Source organism: Homo sapiens, chromosome 11 (assembly GCF_000001405.40).
Source record: "Homo sapiens chromosome 11, GRCh38.p14 Primary Assembly".
Classification (NCBI taxonomy): Eukaryota; Metazoa; Chordata; class Mammalia; order Primates; family Hominidae; genus Homo; species Homo sapiens.
This window is the reverse complement of record NC_000011.10, coordinates 134,990,477-135,013,353: the sequence shown is the minus strand read 5'-3', so window position 1 is coordinate 135,013,353 and position 22,877 is coordinate 134,990,477. Positions and strand designations below refer to the sequence as shown.

At 41.9% G+C, this 22,877-nt stretch overlaps 2 long non-coding RNA genes across 4 annotated transcripts; one reads left to right on the top strand and one right to left on the bottom strand.

The window, feature by feature from the left end:
• Positions 1-2,347: 2,347 nt before the first annotated feature.
• On the bottom strand, positions 2,348-8,709 carry LOC105369587 (uncharacterized). 2 transcript variants are annotated; one of them, XR_948217.2, is made up of 5 exons: positions 7,967-8,709; positions 7,303-7,437; positions 5,410-5,496; positions 5,153-5,299; positions 2,348-2,810 (listed from the first exon to the last, which is right to left on the bottom strand). It is a non-coding gene; the product is annotated as an uncharacterized LOC105369587 (long non-coding RNA). The 2 variants fall into 2 exon arrangements; XR_001748469.2 differs by lacking the exon at positions 2,348-2,810 and having other exon boundaries at positions 3,506-5,299.
• On the top strand, positions 5,404-18,506 carry LINC02717 (long intergenic non-protein coding RNA 2717). 2 transcript variants are annotated; one of them, XR_948218.3, is made up of 3 exons: positions 5,404-5,841; positions 9,492-9,633; positions 16,266-18,506. It is a non-coding gene; the product is annotated as a long intergenic non-protein coding RNA 2717 (long non-coding RNA). The 2 variants fall into 2 exon arrangements; XR_948219.3 differs by lacking the exon at positions 16,266-18,506 and adding an exon at positions 14,345-16,049 and having other exon boundaries at positions 5,416-5,841.
• The last annotated feature ends 4,371 nt before the right edge of the window (positions 18,507-22,877 follow it).

Here is a 22,877-nt window from a genome sequence, read left to right as displayed (position 1 = left end):
ATCTCAAAATAATAAGAGCTATTTATGACAAACCCATATGCAATATCATACTGAATGGGCAAAAGCTGGAAGCATTCCCTTTGAAAACCGACACAAGGCAAGGATGTCCTCTCTCATCACTCCTATTCAACATAGTATTAGAAGTACTGGCCAGGGAAATCAGGCAAGAGAAATAAATAAAGGGTATTCAAATAGGAAGAGAGGAAGTCAAATTGTCTCTGTTTGCGGATGACATGATTGTATATTTAGAAAACCCCATCATCTCAGCCCAGAATCTCCTTAAGCTGATAAGAAACTTTAGCAAAGTCTCAGGATACAAAACCAATGTGCAAAAATCACAAGCATTCTTATACACCAATAATAGACAGAGAGCCAAACCATGAGTGAACTCCCATTCACAATTGCTAAAATAGAATAAAATACCTAGGAATACAATTTACAAGAGATGTAAAGGACCTCTTCAAGGAGAACCACAAACCACTGCTCAAGGAAATAACAGAGAACACAAACAAATGGAAAAACATTCCATACTAATGGATAGGAAGAATCAATATTGTGAAAATGACCATACTGCTCAAAGTAATTTATAGATTCAATGCCATCCCCATCAAGCTACCATTGACTTTCTTTACAGAATTAGAAAAAACTAATTTAAATTTCATGTGGAACCAAAAAAGAGCCCATATAGCCAAGACAATCCTAAGGACAAAGAAAAAAGCTGGAGGCATCATGCTATCTGACTTCAAACTATACTACAAGGCTACAGTAACCAAAACAGCATGGTACTTGTACCAAAACAGATACATAGACCAATGGAACAGAACAGAGGCCTCAGAAATAATGCCACACATCTACAACCATCTGATCTTTGACAAACCTGACAAAAACAAGCAATGGGGAAAGGATTCCCTATTTAATAAATGGTGTTTATTAATATTTAATAAACTGGCTAGCCATATGCAGAAAACTGAAACTGGACCCCTTCCTTACACCTTATACAAAAATTAACTCAAGATAGATTAAAGACTTAAATGTAAGACCTAAAACCATAAAAACCCTAGAAGAAAACCTAGGCAATACCATTCAGGACATAGGCATTGGCAAAGACTTCATGACTAAAACACCAAAAACAATGGCAACAAAAGCCAAAATTGACATATCGGATCTAATTGAACTAAAGAGCTTCTGCACAGCAAAATAAACTGTCATCAGCATGATCAGGCAACCTACAGAATGAGAGACAATTTTTGTACTCTATCCATCTGACAAAGGGCTAATATCTAGAATCTACAAGGAACTTAAACAAATTTGCAAGAAACAAACAAACAACCCCATCAAAAAGTGGGTGAAGGATATGAACAGACACTTCTCAAAAGAAGACATTTATGCAGCTAACAAACATATGAAAAAAAGCTCATTATTACTGGTCATTAGAGAAACGCAAATCAAAACCACAATGAGATACCATATCATGCCAGTTAGAATGGCAATCATTAAAAAGTCAGGAAACTACAGATGCTGGAGAGGATGTGGAGAAATAGGAACACTTCTACACTGTTGGCGGTAGTGTAAATTAGTTCAACCATTGTGGAAGTCAGTGTGGCAATTCCTCAAGGATCTAGAACTAGAAATATCATTTGACCTAGCAATCCCATTACTGGGTATATACCCAAAAGATTATAAATCATTCTACTATAAAGACACATGCACTCATATGTTTACTGCAGCACTAGTCACAATAGCAAAGACTTGGAACCAACCCAAATGCCCATCAATGATAGACTGGATAAAGAAAATGTGGCACATACACACCATGGAATACTATGCAGCCATGAAAAAGGATGAGTTGATGCCCTTTGCAGAGACATGGATGAAGCTGGAAACCATCATTCTCAGCCAACTAACACAGGAACAGAAAACCAAACACCACACGCTCTCATTCATAAGTGGGAGTTGAACAGTGAGTATACATGGACACCAGAAGAGGAACATCACACACTGGGGCTTTTCGGTGGGTAGGGGGCTAGTGGAGGGATAGCATTAGGAGAGATATCTAATGTAGCTGATGGGTTGACGGGTGCAGCAAACCACCATGGCACATGAATCCCTATGTAACAAACCTGCACATTCTACACATGTATCTCAGAACTTAAAGCATAATAATAATAATAATAAAGCTGTTTTCTTCTACCACCAGCTCACTCTTGAATTCCTTCCTGAATGAAGCCAAGAAGTTGCCATACAACACCACCAAATTATTTTGTAACATTGAGTATGTTTATTGACTTCTCTGAGTCTCAGAATCTGTAATAAAAATGGGATGATTACAGTAACTAGATTTCAGACTCATTATGAAGACTAAATAAAATCATGTACTCCCAGGACCTCGATTCTGGTCTCTAAGTACTACTTCTCACTAAAATAAGCCAGGGCTTTTTTTGAGTAATGACCAATTCCAGGCACGTAAATGTACAAAATGATTCTGGGACATATTTTTGTCACATAAAATAGGAGATGCCAGGTGAGAAAGATGGAGGGGCCTAGTAATAGAATTCCCCTTAGCCTAAAATTAACAAATTGAGCATCAAAAAAATACTAATGGACACAGACTGAAACAATCAAATATATAAAAATCTATGCATTCAAAAGATAATTTAAAGTCATATTGTTCAGTACTTACTGGAGGTAGCAGGTGCTAAACTCATTACTCCAGATGTTGATAAACATAGCAGAATTTTAGAAAGCAATATCTTCTGAGCCATTAATAAAGTGGTGAATCTAGGCAGTGATCAACAGTGGAAGCTAAAGCCCTGAGGAAGGTAGGCATATTTTAATTGAGAAATTATGTAGACACCACTTGAACCACTGACCAATCTTATGTCATGGATTGTGGGGCAGCTGCATCTTGTCTGACTCATGAGGCTGTGCAGTAGAAGTACCCAGTCTCACCTATAACATATCTTGCCTTTGAAATAAAACCTGAATCTAACCAAGACTCTAGGCTTAATTACCAGTTTATAAGGCTAATATAACCACTTAAACAAAACCGCAATGAAGCAAGTAGTTATATTCACAACATGGGACACTTCAGAGAGCAAATGACCTAGTAATTTATCCAAGAAATCAGTAGCTTCAAAAAGGAAGGATGGGATGTTACAAAATAAAAGAGAATTAAGGGACGGGCACAGTGGCTCACGCCTGTAATCCCAGCACTTTGGTAGGCCGAGGCGGGCGGATCACGAGGTCAGGAGATCAAGACCATCCTGGCTAACACGGTGAAACTCCATCTCTACTAAAAATACAAAAAAAGTTAGCTGGGCGTGGTGGCGGGCACCTGTAGTCCCAGGTACTCAGGAGGCTGAGGCAGGAGAATGGCATGAACCTGAGAGGCAGAGATTGCAGTGAGCCGAGATCATGCCACTGCACTCCAGCCTGGGCAACAGAGCAAGACTCCATCTCAAAAAAAAAAAGTAACATGAGAGAATAAAATGTGTTGACTTAATATTCTGATATAAATAAATTCACTGTAAGAAAATGAGACAAAATAGAAAATTTGAATATGAACTGAGTATAAGGTAATTTAATAGCACAGAAATTTGTTAGATGCTATTTTTGTTAGATGTAAATTTGTTAGGTGTTATAATAAACTAGAAGTTATAACATTATAATTACTTCCTATTTCCCATTTATTTCAAGAGTATTCATTACTGCTTGTTGAAACATTTAATTAACTGCTTTAAATCTTTATCAGATAATTCGAAATCTGTGTCTCCTCAGTGTTGTCATGTTTATTGTTTTTTTTTCTGATATAGGTTGAGACTTTTCCTGTTTCTTTCTAGATCAGATAAGATGGATCATATCCTGGGTATTTGAATATTATGCTATGACACTGTAGGTCTCATTTAAATCCCGTGGAGAATCCTGGTGTTCTTGCTTCGGCAGGCAAGCAGCAAGGTTGAGTTCAGGCCGCACGTTCTGAAACCTTCCGTGGTTGTGGCTTCAATGTCATTCCCAATGTCAAAGCCTTGGCAGTGCCACTGGGTTCTGTTCTGTGTGTCTGCACCCAGTGAGCAGTCCTGAGCCTGTGCTGTACTCTCTTTTCAGTTCAAACGAGCTTTTCTAGGTGCTTTGCAAAATATCCTCTTCCTTGACTCATAGGTAAACAATTTTTAAAATATGATTTGTGACCTTTTAAAAATGAGAAAATTTATTTGTTTTTATCACCCAAATTTTTCTCAAAGACATAGTAACCTATTGTACACATAATTTCAACTTTTTTTTTTTGGAGATGGAGTCTTGCTCTGTTGCCCAGGCTGGAGTGCAGTGGCGCGATCTCGGCTCACTGCAATCTCCGCTCCGCCAGGTTCATGCCATTCTCCTGCCTCAGCCTCCCGAGTAGCTGGGACTACAGGCGCCCGCCACCATGCCCGGCTAATTTTTTTGTTTTGTATTGTTTTGTTTTTAATAGAGATGGGGTTTCACCGTGTTAGCAAGGATGGTCTCAATCTCCTGACCTCGTGATCCACCCGCCTCAGCCTCCCAAAGTGCTGGGATTACAGACGTGAGCCACCACGCCCGGCCAATTTCAATTTTTTTAACTTAAAATTTCATCCTGGAGAAAAAGCAACATGAATACTTTTTAAACATAAAAGTATTCTTCATGTCTATTTATAGCTAAGTAGTACTCCATTCTGTGGATGATTCTTCATGTCTATTTATAGCTAAGTAATACTCCATTCTGTGGATGTACCATGACTTATTTCACCCGTTCCCTATTCATAAGCATGTGTTTGATTTCAGCTTTTTGCCAAATCTACTTTTAATAGAGTTAATCCCCTGTCTTTAAACTAACCCCAGGAGAACTCTTGGGAGGATGGAAGCATAGTCCACTTATAACTCTGATCTTTCTTCATGCATTACCAGCATCAGGAATCTCATTGTCCTTCATTCATTACCAGCATCAGGAATCTCATTGTCTCAGAGTCCTGCTAGGCTCTGGCTAGCAGATTCAAGGCTGGTCAGGAAACCCCTTGGAGAAGAGTGTCTGCCTGTTTCTCCTCATGTAAATCACAAGCAGGAAAGTGATGCTTTATTGCTTCTGGAAGCACAGATGCCAGCAAACAGGACGGGAAGTCATCGCAGATTCTGTTACCTGGCAAGCTCATTTGTGCTCTTCTTTTTTTGTTCAAATTTTGCAGCCAAAGTCCAGCTGTGGAGCTGTCTCTTAGCAACCAACTGGAGCTAGCTGCTCTTTGGAAATTCCCTGTGAACTAGCATATGGCGTTTTCTGATCCGACCTCTGCCAAGAAAAGATAACACACAGACATCTAAGAGAGATGAGAGGAGGGGGAAACTCATAAATGCCTTCTGCCCTCTGCCCTCTTTCCGCCCCAAAATGCACACACTTACACGTTATCCCAGAACTCCCAGCAAAGAAGGATAAGCTTTTGCAAGCACAAAGTCTCCGGTTGTCATTCCAGGGCTGCTGTGCCATAGCTACATTTAGAAAGTTGCAGGAGAAAATAAACTGATTAACAAGCAGCGAAACCTGCAAATTATGCCTCACTTAGGCTTAGATTCAAGAAAACCCAGACCAAGCTTGGGATTCTAAGAGTCTCTCCGTGCAAGCTGACCTCATGGAGAAAGTGGCAGAGCTTGTCCCTTCCACTGGGAGACCCTGGAGTTCATTCAGGAGACTGGATGCCCCTGGGCTCGGGCTGCACTGTGGACCCCACTGTGGAATCACCACTCCCAGGCTGACCTCAGGCAGGTTCCAGATCTGTTCTCCACTTCTGCAACAAAACTTACCCGGGCCATGGTTTTATGCAGAAATCTGACAAGGTACCTATATGAAATGCTCTTTCTTTAAATATTTGGAGATGCATTTATTTTTTGTTTATTTATTTTAAAAGGTCATAATCATTCAATATCTTCCTTTTCCTCAGATATATGTAACTGGTTTATTCAAAGGGGAGTGTCCTAATTTGGGGGCAATAGGGGTGGTGTCCTTAGTGAAAGCAGGCTCTGAAGACTGAGGCTGCCCCACACTTTACCCTAGAGAGGTCTGGCCCTTCCTCATTTGTCACTCACACTGGGAAACCCTATTGCCCAGTGTCTGGGTCCAGGGTCCCAGGGAGGACACCATCATTATAACCCATCTGAGCATTAGTACTTTTATCTGTGCGTCCTGCCAGGAGGGTTCTGAGGATTAAATGTGAAAATAGCCGTGACCATGTGTGAAAACTGTAAATAGCTACTCCAGTGTAAGCACTGTCAGCCATATGGTCGTGATGCTAGCTGCTCTGGATGATATCACAGGCCAGGCATTGTGCTAGATGCTCCAATCCTTACAAGCAAGGCATTATTCCCATGCCACAAACAAAAAAAGAAGCCAGCTGTGCTCATCAGGTGCCTTTCCCCCCAGGCCACCCTGGCATTCTCTGCTCTATGATGCTGGGGCTGAGAGTCTGCAAACTACACTTTTCTAGACCCCTGGCTGGCTGTCTCCAGTTAGGTCATGCCAAAGTGAGGTGCTGGGCAGTGATCGGAGGCTGAGGCTGGATGGGGCTCTCTTCCTGTGTCTGCACCCTAGTTTTAATTTTGCTGCTGCAGTGCATAATTACGGCTCCTTTTCCTTAGCACTGGGCTCAGGACACCAATCAGGGCACTAGTGACACTTGGCAATTTAAGATCCAAGAGGCCGAGTGTCCCCTCAGAGGCCCCAGCCTCAGCACAGGTAAGGCGCTCCAGCGGTCTGATAGTTGGCTGCTTGAGACTCTCAAAGCTTTGACAGGTGGTGCCCGTCTCTGAACTCCTGGATTTTGTAATGCCTTTTCTGTTTTGTTTTCTGAAGACTAAGGAAAGCAGCTGTTTCGTTAAGTTCTGAATGCCTAGGTTACCTCAGTATCTACTTTCTGCTCCATCTGTCTTCAACACTTATCTAATTTCTTGTATTTGATAATACTGTTAAAAATCGGTGAGTTTTCTATTCCCTGAATCTGTGCCCTTGCCCAAAGGTCCCAGTCTGGTGAGTGGTGGCTCTGGCAGCCAGCCAGTACTCCGAGCTGCAAAACTCATGTTCCTTCCTTTGCCTCACGTTATACTAGTGATTGGCTTTTAGCAGAGATCTTAAGTTCCAGGCTCACTTCAGGACCATCACCCGTACAATCGGCCCTCGGTATTTATGGGTTTTCACATCGGTGTATTCAACCAACCGCAAATCAAAAATATTCAAAAAATGAATATAGAAAGTAACAATATAACAATAACATGTTGATACAAGCCGAGTGCTATGGCTCACACCTGTAGTTCCATCTACTTGAGAGGCTGAGGCAGGAGGATCGCTTGAGCCCAGGAGCTCAAGCCTGCAGAGATCTGGGATTGCACCACATACTCCAGGCTGGAGGACAGAATCGGATTCTGAGTGAGACCTTGTCTCTATGAAAAAAAATATACAAATTTTAAAATACAGCATAACAACTATTGACATAGCATTTACATCATGTCAGCTCTGATGAGTACTCTAGAGATGATGTAACATACACGGCAGGCTGTGCATAGCTTATCTGCAAGTAATGTAGGATGCCATTTCTATACAGAGCTTAAGCAATCCTTTCTATGAGGATTTGGTATCCCCAGGGGTCCTGGAGCCAGTGCCCTGTGGTAATTCTGTGTGAGCACTAAATGAGATGATGCTGGAGAAAACAGTTGGCCCATGGCAAGCACACCATGTATTTCTTAGTTATTATTGTTGAATAACACATTCAATATTAGTTATTATTGTTGAATGTGGATTTTGTTCAATAATAGTTATTATTGTTGAATGTGGATTTTGCTCAGTGGAAGGAAGGCTTTTGCAGAGGGGTGTCTGATGGGTAGGGGCAGCCAAAAACAAAGGCCATTGCTGTTTCCTAGGGACAGAAGCAGAGCTTTCTTTGGCGGAGACAGTCTGAGGCTGGTGTCTTACCTCCTTTGCACCAGGCTTCAGGGAAGAAGGTGGTCCCAAGAAGGCCCAAGAGCTGGGCTCCAGCAGCCCCGGGAGTGGGGAAGGTCTATGAGCGAGGCACGCACTGTCTCAGAGCGGGACACAGATGATGCAGGCAGAGGTTCCTGGGCCATTTCCTTATGCAGAGGAGGGATGGGGTGGGAAGGGGGTGCAGTAAGGTGCATGCGGTCTCCCTTTTCAGACCAGGTACAGCTAGAAAAAGAGATAAACAAGCAAGCTCCTCAGCCTCTGGGGACATGAAGCCCTCTGAAAGCAAAAGTGGGGCTTGAAGGGCCTTGCATAGTTGATAGGAAGAGAGAGACTAATGCATGTCCATGGGGCTAGGCAGGGTGTCAGGGCAAAGTAGTGACAGCAGAGGGGAGAAGGAGGAAGGAGAGATGGCTCCTGTTGCCTGTGCAGTGGGGGTCTCTCAGGCTTAGGGAGAAGCATTTCTGCTTTTCTTTAAAACTAACTCTAAACTGAGACTTTACACAGAGGCCTCTGCCAAACACGGTATGTATGTATGTATGTATTTCCCCAGAGAAGACCAGAATGAGGACATTCATCATGTCCAGGAACCCAGACATACAGGGGTCATCCAAAGTGCAATCAGCTTGTCCTCTGGGTGACTGTCGTTGAAAAGAGGCACTTGAATTATTCAGAGGCCCAGACATTCTGGCTGCTAGCAGACACACACTCTGATCTCCCTGAATGAGAAAACCAGGTTCACGGATCTGTGCAGACAACCCCCACTCCAAGCAGGACTCCCCAGAAAGGCAGGCAAGGAAGGAGGAGCACAGAGAGGGGCTCCTATTTCCTCTCCTACACAGCGTCATCTTTAGCCTCTCATGTGGGCGTTTGATCTGCTCTTGAATAGAATGCGGGGAGGAACTGGGTCTGGAGCCAGACGTGGAAAGTCACGCCCCAGCTTCATTTCTGGGTTCAAATCCTGGCTCTGCCCTTCCTAGCTGTGAGGTGTGAGCAGTTCTTCAAAATATTCTTTGCGTCAGTTGTGTCATCTCAGACCCAATGGTCATTGTGGTACCTGCCTCAGAGGCTCATGTGAGAATTAAATGTAAATGTATGAAATTATTTGCAGCAGCCAAGATATGGGAACAACCTAAATGCCCACTGATGAATGAAGGGATAAAGAAAACGTGGTGTGGTCAGTGGTGTGCCGAATAACAATGTTTTGGTCAATGGTGGTTCACACACACGTTGGTGGTTCCATTAGAATATAATCGAGCTAAAAAGCCCGTGTCACTTCATGACATCGTCATCACAGCACAGCACATTCCCCTTCTGTTTGTGGTGACCCTGGTGTAAACAAACCTGCATCACTTCCAGCTGTGGGAAACTCTAGCACATACAATATGTACAGTACACAATACTTGGTAATGATAATGCATCTGTTTACATATTTATGCTATTATATTGTTTTACCAATATTTTAGAGTATCCTTTTTATACTTGTATATAAAAAAAGGTAACTGCAAAACTGTCTCAGGCAGGTCCATCAAGAGGTTTCCAGAAGAAGGCATCGCTATCACAGGAGATGGCAGCTCCATGCCTGTTACTGCCCCTGAAGATGTTCCAGTGGGACAGGGTGTGGAGGTGGAAGACAGCAACAGTGACGATCCTGACCCTAAGTAAGCCTAGGCTGATATGTGTGTGTCTCGGTTTTTAACAAAAAGTCTTAAAAAGTAAAAATAAATAAAAAATGGAAACAAAGCGTATAGAATAAATATATAAAGAAAGATAGGTGTTCAATGTGTGCTTTAAGCTAAATATTACTATAAAAGAGTTGAAAGATTTTTTAAAGCTTATAAAGTAAAAACATTACAATCAGCTAAGGTTAACTGATTATTAAAGAAGGAAGAATACTTATTATAAATTTGGTGTAGCCTGAGTGTGCAGTGTTTATAGTTTACAGTAGTGTACAGTAACATCCTAGGCCTTCACATTCACTCACACAAGCTCATTGGCTTGTGACCCAGAGCAACTTCCTGTTCTGCACACTCTATTTATACTAAGTGTCCTGTACAGGTGTACTATTTTTCTATTCTATACTGTATTTTTACTGTACCTTTTCTACATTTAGGTATGTTTAGACACACAAATACTTACCATTGTGCTACAATTGCCTACAGCATTCAGTACAGTAACATACACTGCAGGTTTGTAGCCTAGGCCATAGGCCACACCATCTAGCCTAGATGTATAATAGGCCACACCATCTAGCCTAGGTGTATAATAGGCCATGCCATCTAGGTTTGTGATGTTCCCAGAATGACAAAATCACCTAACAACACGTTTCTCAGAACATATTCCCATGGTTAAGTGAATCATGACTGTACATATAATGGAATATTATTCAACCTTTAAAAAGAAGGACATTTTGACATGTGGGAAAACATGAATAAACCTGGAGGACATTATGCTAAGTGAAACAAGCCAGTCACAGGACAGGCACTGCACAATCCCACTTATGCGAGGTATCTGAAACACTCAAACTCATAGAATCAGAGAGTAGAATGGTGATTAGCCAGGGGCTTAGCAGAGGGGAAAGGGGGATTACTGTTTAACAGGTATAAAGTTTAGTTATGCAAGATGAATAGGTTCTAGAGATCTGCTATGTGGCCTCATGCCTAAAGTTAACAACACTATATTGTATACTTAAAAATTAAGGGGGCAGATTTCATGTTCAGCACACAGAAAAAGAATGTAAAAGTATGCAAAGTGCTTATTCAGTGTCCTTACACATAAGAAATGCTCAATATGTTACAGCTATAATTACTATCACTGTGTTCCAAGTGCTGTAGCTGAAAAGGTTAAAAAGAGCCATGGTCCCTTTGCTCTTGGATTTCACAGTTCAGCAGCTCATAAAAGGTAGCATATATCACCTAGGCTGGGACCACTGCCAAAAGATATTCCTTTCTCACAGCCTGCAGACCATGCAGTGAAGGTTCTGGCCTCCACAAGATAAACAGGAAAGATGCTCTCCTGTCAAGGGGGCCCTGAGAATTGGATTACAGGTTGCCATAAATCTTCCCTGCAGAAAAAATGTTTCCCTCAGTCAATCTTACAAGTCTCACATTGAAGTTCAATGAATGTTTTGGTTATAAGGAACCCAGAATCATTAAGACAGAGAGCAGCAGGGTCTCATCCTCTAGCATTAGAAGTTTGTTTCTTGACAGTCAATTACAAAAAAGAAAAAACACAAATACCAAATCTTCTAAAATTTAATAGAAAAAATATACATAAATTAATAATAAATGTTTAAGAGATAGCTTCTTTTAGATTTGTAAGAATATTAAGACAAAGCTGACTTTAACGGGAAAACTATATTTGCAAGTAAGGCAGCAAAATGAATATATTTGCATTTTTGTTAAATGAAGTGTTTCCTGAAACCAACATAGCACTAGAATATAAAGCACAATAAACAGGAAATCAAAAACAGCAGCCATGTGAGGAGAGCAGTGGCTGGCAGCAGTGGGACAGGGACAAGGGACATGGTAGCTCCTCTTAGTGGACATGTGTGTCCCTCCTTCCTCTGAGGCCACTGCCACCCAGCCTTCTGGAGGCCCCTTGCCCTTCCTCCAAGGGCCCTCCCTCCAAGAGCAGTCACCCTGGCTTCTTGGCCCTCCATCCTGACTCCATGAAGACCTCAACACCTATTCACAGGCCCCTCTCCTTCCTGCTTCTCCGTCTTCTTGAGGTCTTCGTATCCATGTGCCCTATAGATCCCTGGCCTCTCAGTCCCAATTTTCTAATCTCTAGGGACCTGTTTTCAACTCTACACCTAGACCCATGGTTCTGCCCTTAACTCTATCATCTGTTGCATCTCAAACATGAATTCAAGGAGCCCACTCTAACCATGGCCTTTCCTTCCAGCCCACAAACTCTAGTAGCCTGGCTGCAAAATCTATTCACTCTCATCAGGAACTGTCATGTATTGCTCATGGCTATCTGTGTGTGTTCATCCATCCGTCCATCCATCCATCCATCCACCTATCTATCCATCCATCCATTCATTCATCCATGTGTTCGCCCATTCATCCATCCATCTATTCGTCCATCCATACATACATTTATCCATCCATCTGACTACCTATCCATCTATCCATCCATCCATCCATCCATCCATCCGTCCATCTGTTAATCCATCCATCCATCCATCCATCCATCCATCCATCCGTCCATCTGTTAATCCATCCATCCATCCATCCATCCATCCATCCATCCATCCATCCATTCATCCATCCATCCAGTCTCATTGGAGTTCATTTTCTTCACTAAGTACCTTAAATCTGTGGTCCTTACATGTAAATTCAACTTCTTTGCCCCATTCTTACTCCATTGTAGTTATTTTGCCATACACCAACCTTGGAAGAGACTGACCATGCCTTTCTGTCTCCCTATACTTTTCTACCCTAACACTGCTTAGCCATCCCATCATGTATCTCAAATATGTTCACTTCTCCACTTTCCTAAATATCTATGTCATGCATTCTTCTCTTTTTTCATCCCTTTGTATTCCCTTCACATCCCCAGAATCGTCAGACAAACTGAGGTGACATCTCACTAGAAAATAAAACTATTAGACAGGAACTATTAATATTTCAATGTCTTAAGTGGGGTTGAGGTATGGGGCTACCCTTTGTGAATTTTTATCTTATTCTTCCACCCTAAAATATACGGGCAGCATCTTTCTCCTATTAAATAGTTAGACATTGTTGAGTGTGCATTAGGTACATACTCCGGTCCACTCATGTCATTATATCTTCGCAACCACAAGCATATTATGCCTATGTTTCAAAGATGACAACCAAGGCACTGAGGTGCTACGTAATTGTCCAGGGTTATGCAGAAGTGGAGCTGTGGCTTGAGCCAGGAAATGCCCTCCTCATGTGTGATGGTCCCACCCCTCCTCATAATTCTCAGTTTTCCTCTTTTGCAATTCCCAAGTTTCCCATGTGTTCCTACTCTTTCTCAACTGGATCAAGTGCTCAGGATTAGGAAAGTTGTCCTCCACCTCTCTGCATACGGTCTCACTTTCTGGGAGAGACTTGACAAGTACTTCAGGCTTTCCAGCATTAATAGACTAGGTTCCCCAGAGAAGTAGGGGAATTTCCTCCTGGAGAGTCATTACTAGACTGAAAATCCACCCTTTATCATCCACCCCTAATAGCAAATGTCACCTGTTTGAAGCAGATTCATAGATTCTGCAAATGGTGGAGAATTTCTCTCCCTAGAAACCCAAAAAGCTAAAGCCACTCTCTTGACAGTGTAACCAGCCTAGCCTTCCTGAGGGAAGAGCTGCAAGCACAGTGGGGACTGCTACAGAGCACAGCGGTGCCTGGACATTTTCTCTGCAGCTCTGCACGACCCCTCCCCTATTTCCTCTGCTCTCCCCCCAGTAGCTGCCAATCACATGCCATCCCCGAGGAGCCACTAATCCCCGTGACAAGCTTATGGTCTAGTTGAACCAGCTGCCCCTCTGGCCATGTGCATGATTTCTCCCTGTGACAGAGGCCTCTAATCATTCTCTCTTCCTCTGCCGGGGTGTCAGCCACAAATCTGGGCAGAGTCATTAAAGTGTCCACCTGTCCGAGCTCATTGTTAGGAGGATTCATCAGTGGCCAGGCCTCACTGCTGCCTCCACCTGGAGAGGGGGCTGATCCTGCAGCCCCTTTACCCTTTACCCTCGGAAAGCTTGGGGACTGAGCAGGCCAGGGCCCTGTCTGGGCTCTGAAAGCTGGAGGGAAGGAGAGAGTGGGAGAGGAGCAAGAAGAGAAGGCACCTGCCCAGCAGGCATCCTTGAGTCCCTCCTTTTTCTGCAGCCTCCCCTGCTGGGATTTAGTTTGAAGCTTAGCCCAGATATCAGGAATGTGCTCCCTGGCCATGCCTCAATGTTGAGAAAAAAGTTCCTCTCAGTTTCAAAAGGAGATAGCTGTGTATAGAATTCTTGCCCCCTTCTACAGAATACACAGTGCTTTCAAGATAATTTCACTGCACCAGTGAGATAAAACTTCCTGCTCTAGGACCTTGAATGTTCAGAGAGGGCAGATATGGAATCCATGTCTAGATGATTTTACGTCCTTTAAACAAATGAGTGAAATTAAATTATTTCAATACATCTAGCTTCTGTGTACATTGGTTTTCTCATTAAAAAAAATTATTTGTTCTACTTAATTCACAAGCTTGTTAGTAAAATAGTATAAGTAAAAGAGTCTGAGAAATTCCCTGAAGGCTTCATTCTGAGCTCAGGAAATATTTAGAAAAAGAAAAAGATCTATCTGGCTACAGAGAAGTTTTTAGCATTGTTGTTCTCATATTTGCCTTGCTATGATCCCACAGGAGTTGGGTGCTTTTGTGCACAGAAGAAAAACAAATACCTGGAATTAGAATTACTGACAAAATAACTGGTTCACCAGCAGTCTTCAAAACCATACAGGACCTGCTGGCTTGAGATAAGTCCTCACAACTTTCACATTTTCCTATTCATTGGAAAACCCAAAAGAGCCTCATGGGGGGCCCAGTGATTAAAGATAATTGTAATCTTAGTAACAATAATAGCAACAGTCATCTATGGAGTATTATAGGCCTACCAACATTCTAAATCTGTATGTGCATTATTTCAAATTATTTTAACAATAACAGGAGGAAACAATTATAACTGAAAAAAAAAACCAGATTGGAGAATTTAAGCAAACGGCCTCAGGTTACACATATAATAATGAAATAAGCAGGGATTAATCCCAGGAAGTCTGATTTTAGAACTCATACAAATAACTATTCTATTTTAGTATATTGTATGAAAGGGGAATTTTGAGAAGGAAAATGAAAAATGAGGAAAAATTGACGATGTGAGTATGTTTCATTGGGGAAGACAAATTTTGAAGTTAGGTTCACCTTATTTTATTATTATTATCTTTTTGAGATGGAGTCTCACTCTGTCGCCTAGGCTGGAGTGCAGTGTCACCATCTTGGCTCAGTGCAACCTCTGCCTCCCAGGATTAAGCAGTTATTCTGCCTCAGCCTCCCAAGTAGCCAGAACTACAGGCACATACCACCACACTTGGTTAATTTTGGTATTTTTAGTAGAGATGGGGTGTCCCCATGTTGGCCAGGCTGGTCTCAAACTCCTGACCTCAAGCGACGCACCCGCCTCAGCTTCTCAAAGTGATTACAGGCATGAGCCACCGTGGCCAGCCACCTTAATTTTTGACTTGCTGTCCTTCATCTATGAGCTAAAGAGGCTCCAGAACTTAATTAACACTAGTACCTGTCAACCCAGTTCATCCCCTGCCCCAGAAGCAGAGCTTTTCTGCACCTGTCGTCTCACATAGTCTCATCCGCTCATTGCTCTCACCTTCGCCCTTGATTTCTTTACATTTGCCTCCAGGTTTTGCGTTCTGTCACGTATTCTATTCACCGTTACAAATGCATGTTCCAGAGAAGGATCACTCAATTCTGCCCCATGTTGCCACTTCTGAGCAAAGGGCTGGCCTTCAGAGCCAGGGAGATAACTTCAGACTGTATTCTATAAATAACCACTGGAAGAGTGGAGGGGGACGTCACTTGGCATTCATAAGTTTCTGTCAGCCACAGAAATAATCAAATTTCCTTGTCAATTGTGTCTTTAGCCATGGCTATTCTAAGTCTTTTGTCATTCATAGACAATATCACTTTACTTTGATTCATTTCAAAAAGTGGTTTATAGTTGGCTATAGCCAAAAATTTACTTCTTCTACAAGAAAATTCATGAAAAAGACCACAACAAGTACTCTTGAATGTAGATTTTTGATAATTTTGGAGATTATACCATTGGATTAGGTAAAAACTTACAAAACTCTAGTAAACGAATGAGTTCATGAAGATTACTAACCCAACATCAAGTAGAACAAAATTAATTACATGAGACTGAACTGATGAAAGACCAAAACAATTGTTGTGACTTCTTTTTATTTGAAATATTGCTGATTCTTTTTAGTTTTTGCTTTTCAGAGTCAAGACAAAGTTTTTTTTTTCTTCCTTTCTTTTAAGCCATTTACAGCTTACAACAATTGGGTAAAATATATTGTTGTGAGCAAAATGGGAACATTTACCTTTCTTTCTACCTGATCCCTACAGAATTTGAAAACTATTTGTGGGTATTTGTATTTTATGTCAATATAGCATTAGCATAACTTCAATAAGAATTTGCTCTCTTTATGATAGGGCAATTAGGAATATAGCTTCCATTACCAAAGCTTTGACTGAGATGTCATATTTTCAGATTGACCAGATTGCTTTGAGGAACTAAGAAGCTGTTAAACCTTTGGAAGAACTGGCCTGATACGTTGTCTACATGGTTCTCCTACAAGGTGTATGAGTCCATTTTTATGCTGCTGATAAAGACATACCTGCAACTAAGAGGAAAAAGTTGTTTAACTGGACTTACAGTTCCACATGGCTGGGAAGGCCTCAGAATCATGGCAGGAGGCGAAAGGCACTTCTTACATGGTGGCACCAAGGGAAAATGAGGATGATGAAAAAGTGAAAACCCCTGAAAAAATCAGATTTTGTGAGACTTATTCACTACCACGAGAACAGTCTGGGGGAAACCGCTCCCATGATTCAAATTATCTCCCACCCGGTCCCTGCCCCCGCAACCCCCCCACAACATATGAGAATTACGGGAGTACAATTCAAGAAGATTTAGGTGGGGACACAAAGCCAAACCATATTACAAGGTTTATAGCCTTGCAGTAAGTAAAGAATACCATTTTCTGACAAGCCCAGGAACTTCAGGATATTTTGGGGACCTCAAAAAAGAGGGATTTACCCAATTCATACAAGTATTACAGGCAAAATCTGATGGTGAATTGCTGGCCTGGCTTCCAATCTTAAGAGGCTTTTAAAGATTGAACCTGAAATTCCTTATAAAAAAAGTTTCAGTCAAGTCAATTTAAAAAGTGCTCAGATGGCCAAGTACAATTCTGGCTGTACTTTAGTCAAATACTCAGGCCAAGTATAACAAGTCTAAGACTTTATTTTGCAAATAAATTGGTCCTACTGTAAACCAAAAAGTGTCTGAGACAAGTTTCAGTCCATTTAGAAAGTTTATTTTGCCAAGGTTAAGGACATACCAGTGACACAGCCTCGGGAGATCTTGACAACATGTGCCTAAGGTGGTTGGGGCACAGCTTGGTTTTCTACATTTTAGGGAGACATGAGACTCAATCATTATATGCACGATGTACATTGGTTTGGTCCAGAAAAGAGGGACAACTTAAAACCAAAAGAGGGCTTCCAGGTCAGAGGTAGATAAGAGACAAATGGTTGCATTCTTTTGAGTTTCTGATTAGGCTTTCACTGAATACACAATTTACAGAAATAGTCGCTTATGCCTTAGTCTGGCTTAGTAAAGCAACAGAACAAAGGAAGCACTCAGATGCGCGTGTCCCATGTGAGCAGAGGGATAACTTTGACATCTGTTTGTGCTTTGTCTAAAGGAATTTTTCTTCGTGGGAAAATTGTAAGGGAGGTATGTAGCTTTTCAAAATTTTTGTAGCTATCTTATTTAGGAGTAGACTACATAGACTGGGAAGCAGGTTTGCATGACAAGTTTCCCAGCTTGAATTTCCCTTTGGCGTAGTGATTTTGGGGTCCCTAGATTTATTTTTCTTCCATATTTACTTTTTCTTTGCTTAAATTTATCTTTGCCTAAATTAATTGTGGGACGGGAAAGGGAAAATTTATGTTTCAGAAGAAAACTATGGTACACTTATTAGTTTCTAGCTCTGATCTTTTTTTTTTTTTTCAGTTTTGCTATTTGCCCACAATTTAAACTAAATCCTATTTTTTTTTCTGGTTACAGGCTTTCAGACAAATTTTTCTCCTATTTTTTAAGCTCACTGAAATTGATAATACCTTTTTACCGAGGCCTTGCAAGCTGAAGTTTATGCATAAATAACCTTGTGACATACAAATTACAGATCACAAAATCTGTCAGATCGCCAATGCCTCCTTCCACAGTAACTAAAGATGCCTCTAGTTGAACAGCTGGATACCTCAACTGACTGCTCTCCAGACTCTAAAGAAATCCGTTTATAGACTGCTCCAAATATTAACCTTTGTTTTTCTGCTGTTTGGGAGCCCATCTGCAACGCCATTTCCTGAAATGAGACACAGCTGTTTAATTGGACTGGTCTACTCGTAGAAATAGAACACCAGTTTAATGATAATTTTTGCTACTCAGCTATTAACTCAAATATTATCTTCACACCCAACAACTTAGATTTTAGTGTGTGAAACTTTGAGGGACATTTTAGACAGAGGACTTTTGGGGTGCAGAAGTGGTTCCCTGATATATGACACCTGGGCATGGTGAGTGCTTTTAAACATTAAAAGACCTCATAAATAAGCCTCAGAATCATGGTCCCCCTAAAACTGTCTTGGGGCAGGAAGGGACTCTCTCTCTGTAATTTCCTTATCTGACTAAGAAATCTTCTTCCCAAAAAACCACAATTGCCATCTAGCCCATTCCTGAAATCTCATTTCAGACAGAAATGTTACCATATCTGGATGGTCTCTTTCACAAGATAATGCCTGCCTCTTGGGGTCATTCAAATTCCAAAAAGTATTATTTACAAGTTAATTTCTGTCTCTAAATTCCACACCTTTTCTTCCTAATAATCATTTACTGCTCCTGAATAGCATTGTCTGCATTCCTCATCTCCTCCCTCCTTTGTGAAAAAGGGTTTATAAGCCTCTGTCCCCACTGGGGGTTAGGGTAATCACTCTGTGATTCTCTCCAGTGCATGTTAAAAATGTGTATACCTCTTCTCCAATTAATCTGTCTTCTGCCAGTCAATTTTCAGCAAACCTTCAGAGGGCAAAGTAGATGTTTCCCTTGGCCCCTGTACCCCTTAGGAGCCCTGAAACACTTATTTTTCCATATTATGCTCTTTATATTAATTTGCTAATTTACTGAACACATATTTTTCAAGCAACTCCTCATTTGCTGGGCACCTTTCTGGGTGCTGGGACATAAAGAGACGTGGAGAGAGTTGCCTTGTGATACAGGAGGTAGAAAGAAATTATTTAGGCAGATAGTGAGGGTAAAAGAGTCTTTGACAGAGCTTCCCTTTTAACAAAAAGCAGCCCAAGAAATTATTTTTTTTTCTAACAAAGGGCAGCCTGAAAAGTTGAGCTGCAAACATAGACAAGCAAGCTGGAAGCTTGCATGGGAAATGCCAGCAGCTGTGCCAATAGAAAATGGCTACCTGGGGGTCAGGCACGTCCAACGTTGAGGCTCCATCTTCCCTTTTTTTGTCACTGTGTGTACAGTAAAGGAATGGGCAACATGGTGCTGCCACAGCAGAGGACCTGCCTGCTTAATGAGTGATTAGGATGGGGGTGGCCAAAAATTCGCACCCTATGCAAATGGCACACCTAGTCCTAACCAGTTTTTCACACCCCATGCAAATGGCACACCTGGTCCAGCCAATCTTTTGTGCTCTATGTAAGTCAAATACCACCCCCTCACCAGACATCTATAAAACCTCCTACATTTCACCACGGCTCCAGCAGCTCATTTCTTCGGGACCCTTCTCTGCTGCAGGGAGCCGTCCTCCTCCTTTCACCTGTTAAACATCCACTCTCAACCTCACTCTTCGTGTGTCTGTACCCTTTAGTTTCTCAGCCATGAGACAGTGATTTCCAGGGTATCGCCCCAGACAATGAGGCCGTTTCACTTGCACACTCACTTGCACACTCGATTTGTCCCACTCTAGGCCCCCTACTAGGTACCTTGGGTAAGTAATACAGCATATTTTTATCCTATGTTTTCTTAAAATAAGTAATGGGGATACTAGAAGCTACAATCTCAGTCATGCCAACAATTATGGAATCCATGGGAAGCACTTGTTACGGACTTAGACCTGGTGAGCGTCTGTATTTTTTCTGTGGCTGTTGTAACAAATTACTACCAACGTGGTGGTTTAAAACAATTCCCACAGTAGAGCTGGCCTGAGTTCCAAGCACCTTCACGGGGCTAAAATTGAGGTATTTGGGGAGAGCTGCACTCCTTCTGGAGGCTTTGGGGAGCACCGGCCCTTGGCTCTCCTGACTTCAGGTGGCTGCCAGCACTCGGCTGCAGCTGCCTCACTGCAATCTGTGCCTCTGTAGTCGTGCCGGGGCCAAGGCAACACGTCCCCTTCACCCTCTGAAGGCTTGCTGGTAAATAAACTGACAAAAGGCAGATTAATTGGAGGAAAGGCATGAACATTTATTAATAGGTGCTTGGGGGAGAGCCACAGAGTGATTGTCCCATATTCAATGGGGCCCAGATACTTGTATAGCCCTATTTCAGAGGGGAAGAGGAGATGGGAATGTAGGTAATTACAGGGTGATACATGATTAAAGAAGAGAATAAATAGATCAGGGAACAGGGATTCACTTGTAAATGATGCTCTTTGAAAATTGACTGAGACTGAGAGACAGACATTATCTTGTGAAAGTCTGTCCTGGAGTGGTTACACTCTTGGTCCTGTTTTCTGTAATAGATAATGAGCTAACAGAGAGAGGAAGGAAAGACAGTTGTTCTCCTTGGATACTCCCTCTGGTCTCTATGTAGACAGAGAAAATTCTCCTCCAGCCTCTGTTGATCTCTGAAGGTCTTTAATTAAAAATGCACATTACATCAGGGACCACTATTTTGGGGTGAAGTTCTCTGCACTCCTTCAGTTTCACATCTTCTGCCAGTTAAGCCACCCTCTGTCTCTCTCTTACAGTAGCACTTGTGATTCCATTTAAGGTACACCTCGATAATCAGAGCTATTGCTCCACCACAGAATCCTTAAACACATTCCCAAAGACCCTTTCTCTACATCGGGGAACAACTACACATTCCAGAGATTAGGACCTGATACCTGTGTAAGCTATTATTTAGCTCACCACTACATTTGATATATACCTGTCCCTGGCCCCCAATCATTAGATTATAAAGAAGGGCTGTCCAATTGTCATCTGTCTTCACTGTGGTGCCAACCCTGGAGCTCCCTTGTTAATACCTATATAATCCTGAGCCCCAACATGGTTTCATCTACGCAGAGTAGGGCAGACCTCACCACGTGGGCCATGGGGCATTGACCTACTCTGTTTATCGGTGATCAGTTCTCTTCCCATGATCTGGCCTAAAGTTTCTGGAAAACAGTTTCTATGCATAATTATCCCAGGTGGATATTCCAGAGCTATAAAATGCAGAGATCCTGTCCTGGCCCTGTGTCTAAGCTAGAGAAACATTTATTTCAGGTTATTCTGAGGCTTGATGGGAATGACCCTGGTTCCTGGTCTAACCTAATAGTAAACATGTTCCCACAGCCAGGTTCTGAGTACTCCATGGGGCCTGAGCTAACCTCAGTTTTGGGGGACTGTTCTACTTTGTGAATCACTTTACCAGGCACACAGGCTCTGAAGTTCTTTTCTTCCCTCTTCTTTCCCTCTCTTCCTCATTCTCCCTCTCCTCTCTCACTCCATTGATCTTTTTCTATTCCTCAACTCCCCATTTGCTGTCATCTACTTTGATTTCCTCATTCTCCCTCATGTCTATATATCCATATACAGCTTAACTCCCCCCCTCCATCTCATCTGATTCCTCTGTTGATGAAAAAGCCAAACTCTGAAAAATATTTAGAGATTTATTCTTAACCAATATGAGTGACCATGGTCAAGGGAACAGTCTTAGAAGGTCTGGAGAAAGTGAGGTGGTTGGATTACAGCTTGGTTTATACTTTTTGTGGAGACAAAAGTTACAGACAAAGACATAAATCAATACATGTGTCAGAGGTGTTTGAACCAGAGAGACTCCATCTGAATAGGGGCATGGTAAAATAAGAGTGAGACCTACTGGGCTGCATTCCCAGGAGGTTAGGTATTCTTAACTTCACAAGATGAGATAGGAGGTTGGCCGGAGATGCAGGTCATACAGACCTTGCTGATAACACAGGTTGCAGTAAAGAAGCTGGTGAAAACCCCCGAAAACCAAGATGGCAACGAGAGTGATCTCTGGTCTTCACTGCTACACTCCCACTAGCACCAGGACAGTTTACAAATGCCATGGCAATATCAGGAAGTTACCCTATATGGCCTAAAATGGGAGTCACGAATAATCCACCCCTTGTTTAATATATCATCAAGAAATAACCATAAAAATGGGCAACCAGCAGCCCTCGAAGCTGCTCTGCCTATGATGTAGCTATTCTTTATTCCTTTGCTTTCACTTTACTGTATGGACGCACCCCGAATTCTTTCTTGCACAACATCCAAGAACCCTCCCTTGGAGTCTGGACCCTGACCTCTTTCCAGTAACACATGTAAGGTATACATTGGTAGGCCCAAAGATGTGAAATATTTCAAAGTGGGGACTTACAGGTAATAGGTGAATTCAAGGATTTTCTGATCAGCATTTGGTTGAAAGAATTTAGCTTTGTCTAAAGACAGTAGAAAGACATGCTTGAGTTAAGAAAAGGAAGGTTGTGGAAGCCAAGGTTCTTGTTATGTAGATGAAGCCTCTAGGTAGTATTCTTCTGAGAGAATAGATGGTCAATGTCTCTTTTCAGATTTTAAATACAGTCCAACTCAATTAAATCTCCTCTAGACGTGGCAAAGACCTAGAAAGGGAAAGAGATTCTAAAGATGCAAAACTTTACCCCACAAAAGGCTTTGCAGGGCCATTTCAAAATATATCAGATAAATATATTTTGAAGTAAAGTGTGTCAGTTTCTTTCAGGGTCTGCTGTCGTGTGATGCTATACCAGAGTCAAGTTGGAATTTGGCATCTTACTGCCAAAGGGTCTGTTTCATCCATATAAGGATGTCTATTTTAATGTTAATGCTGGTAAGT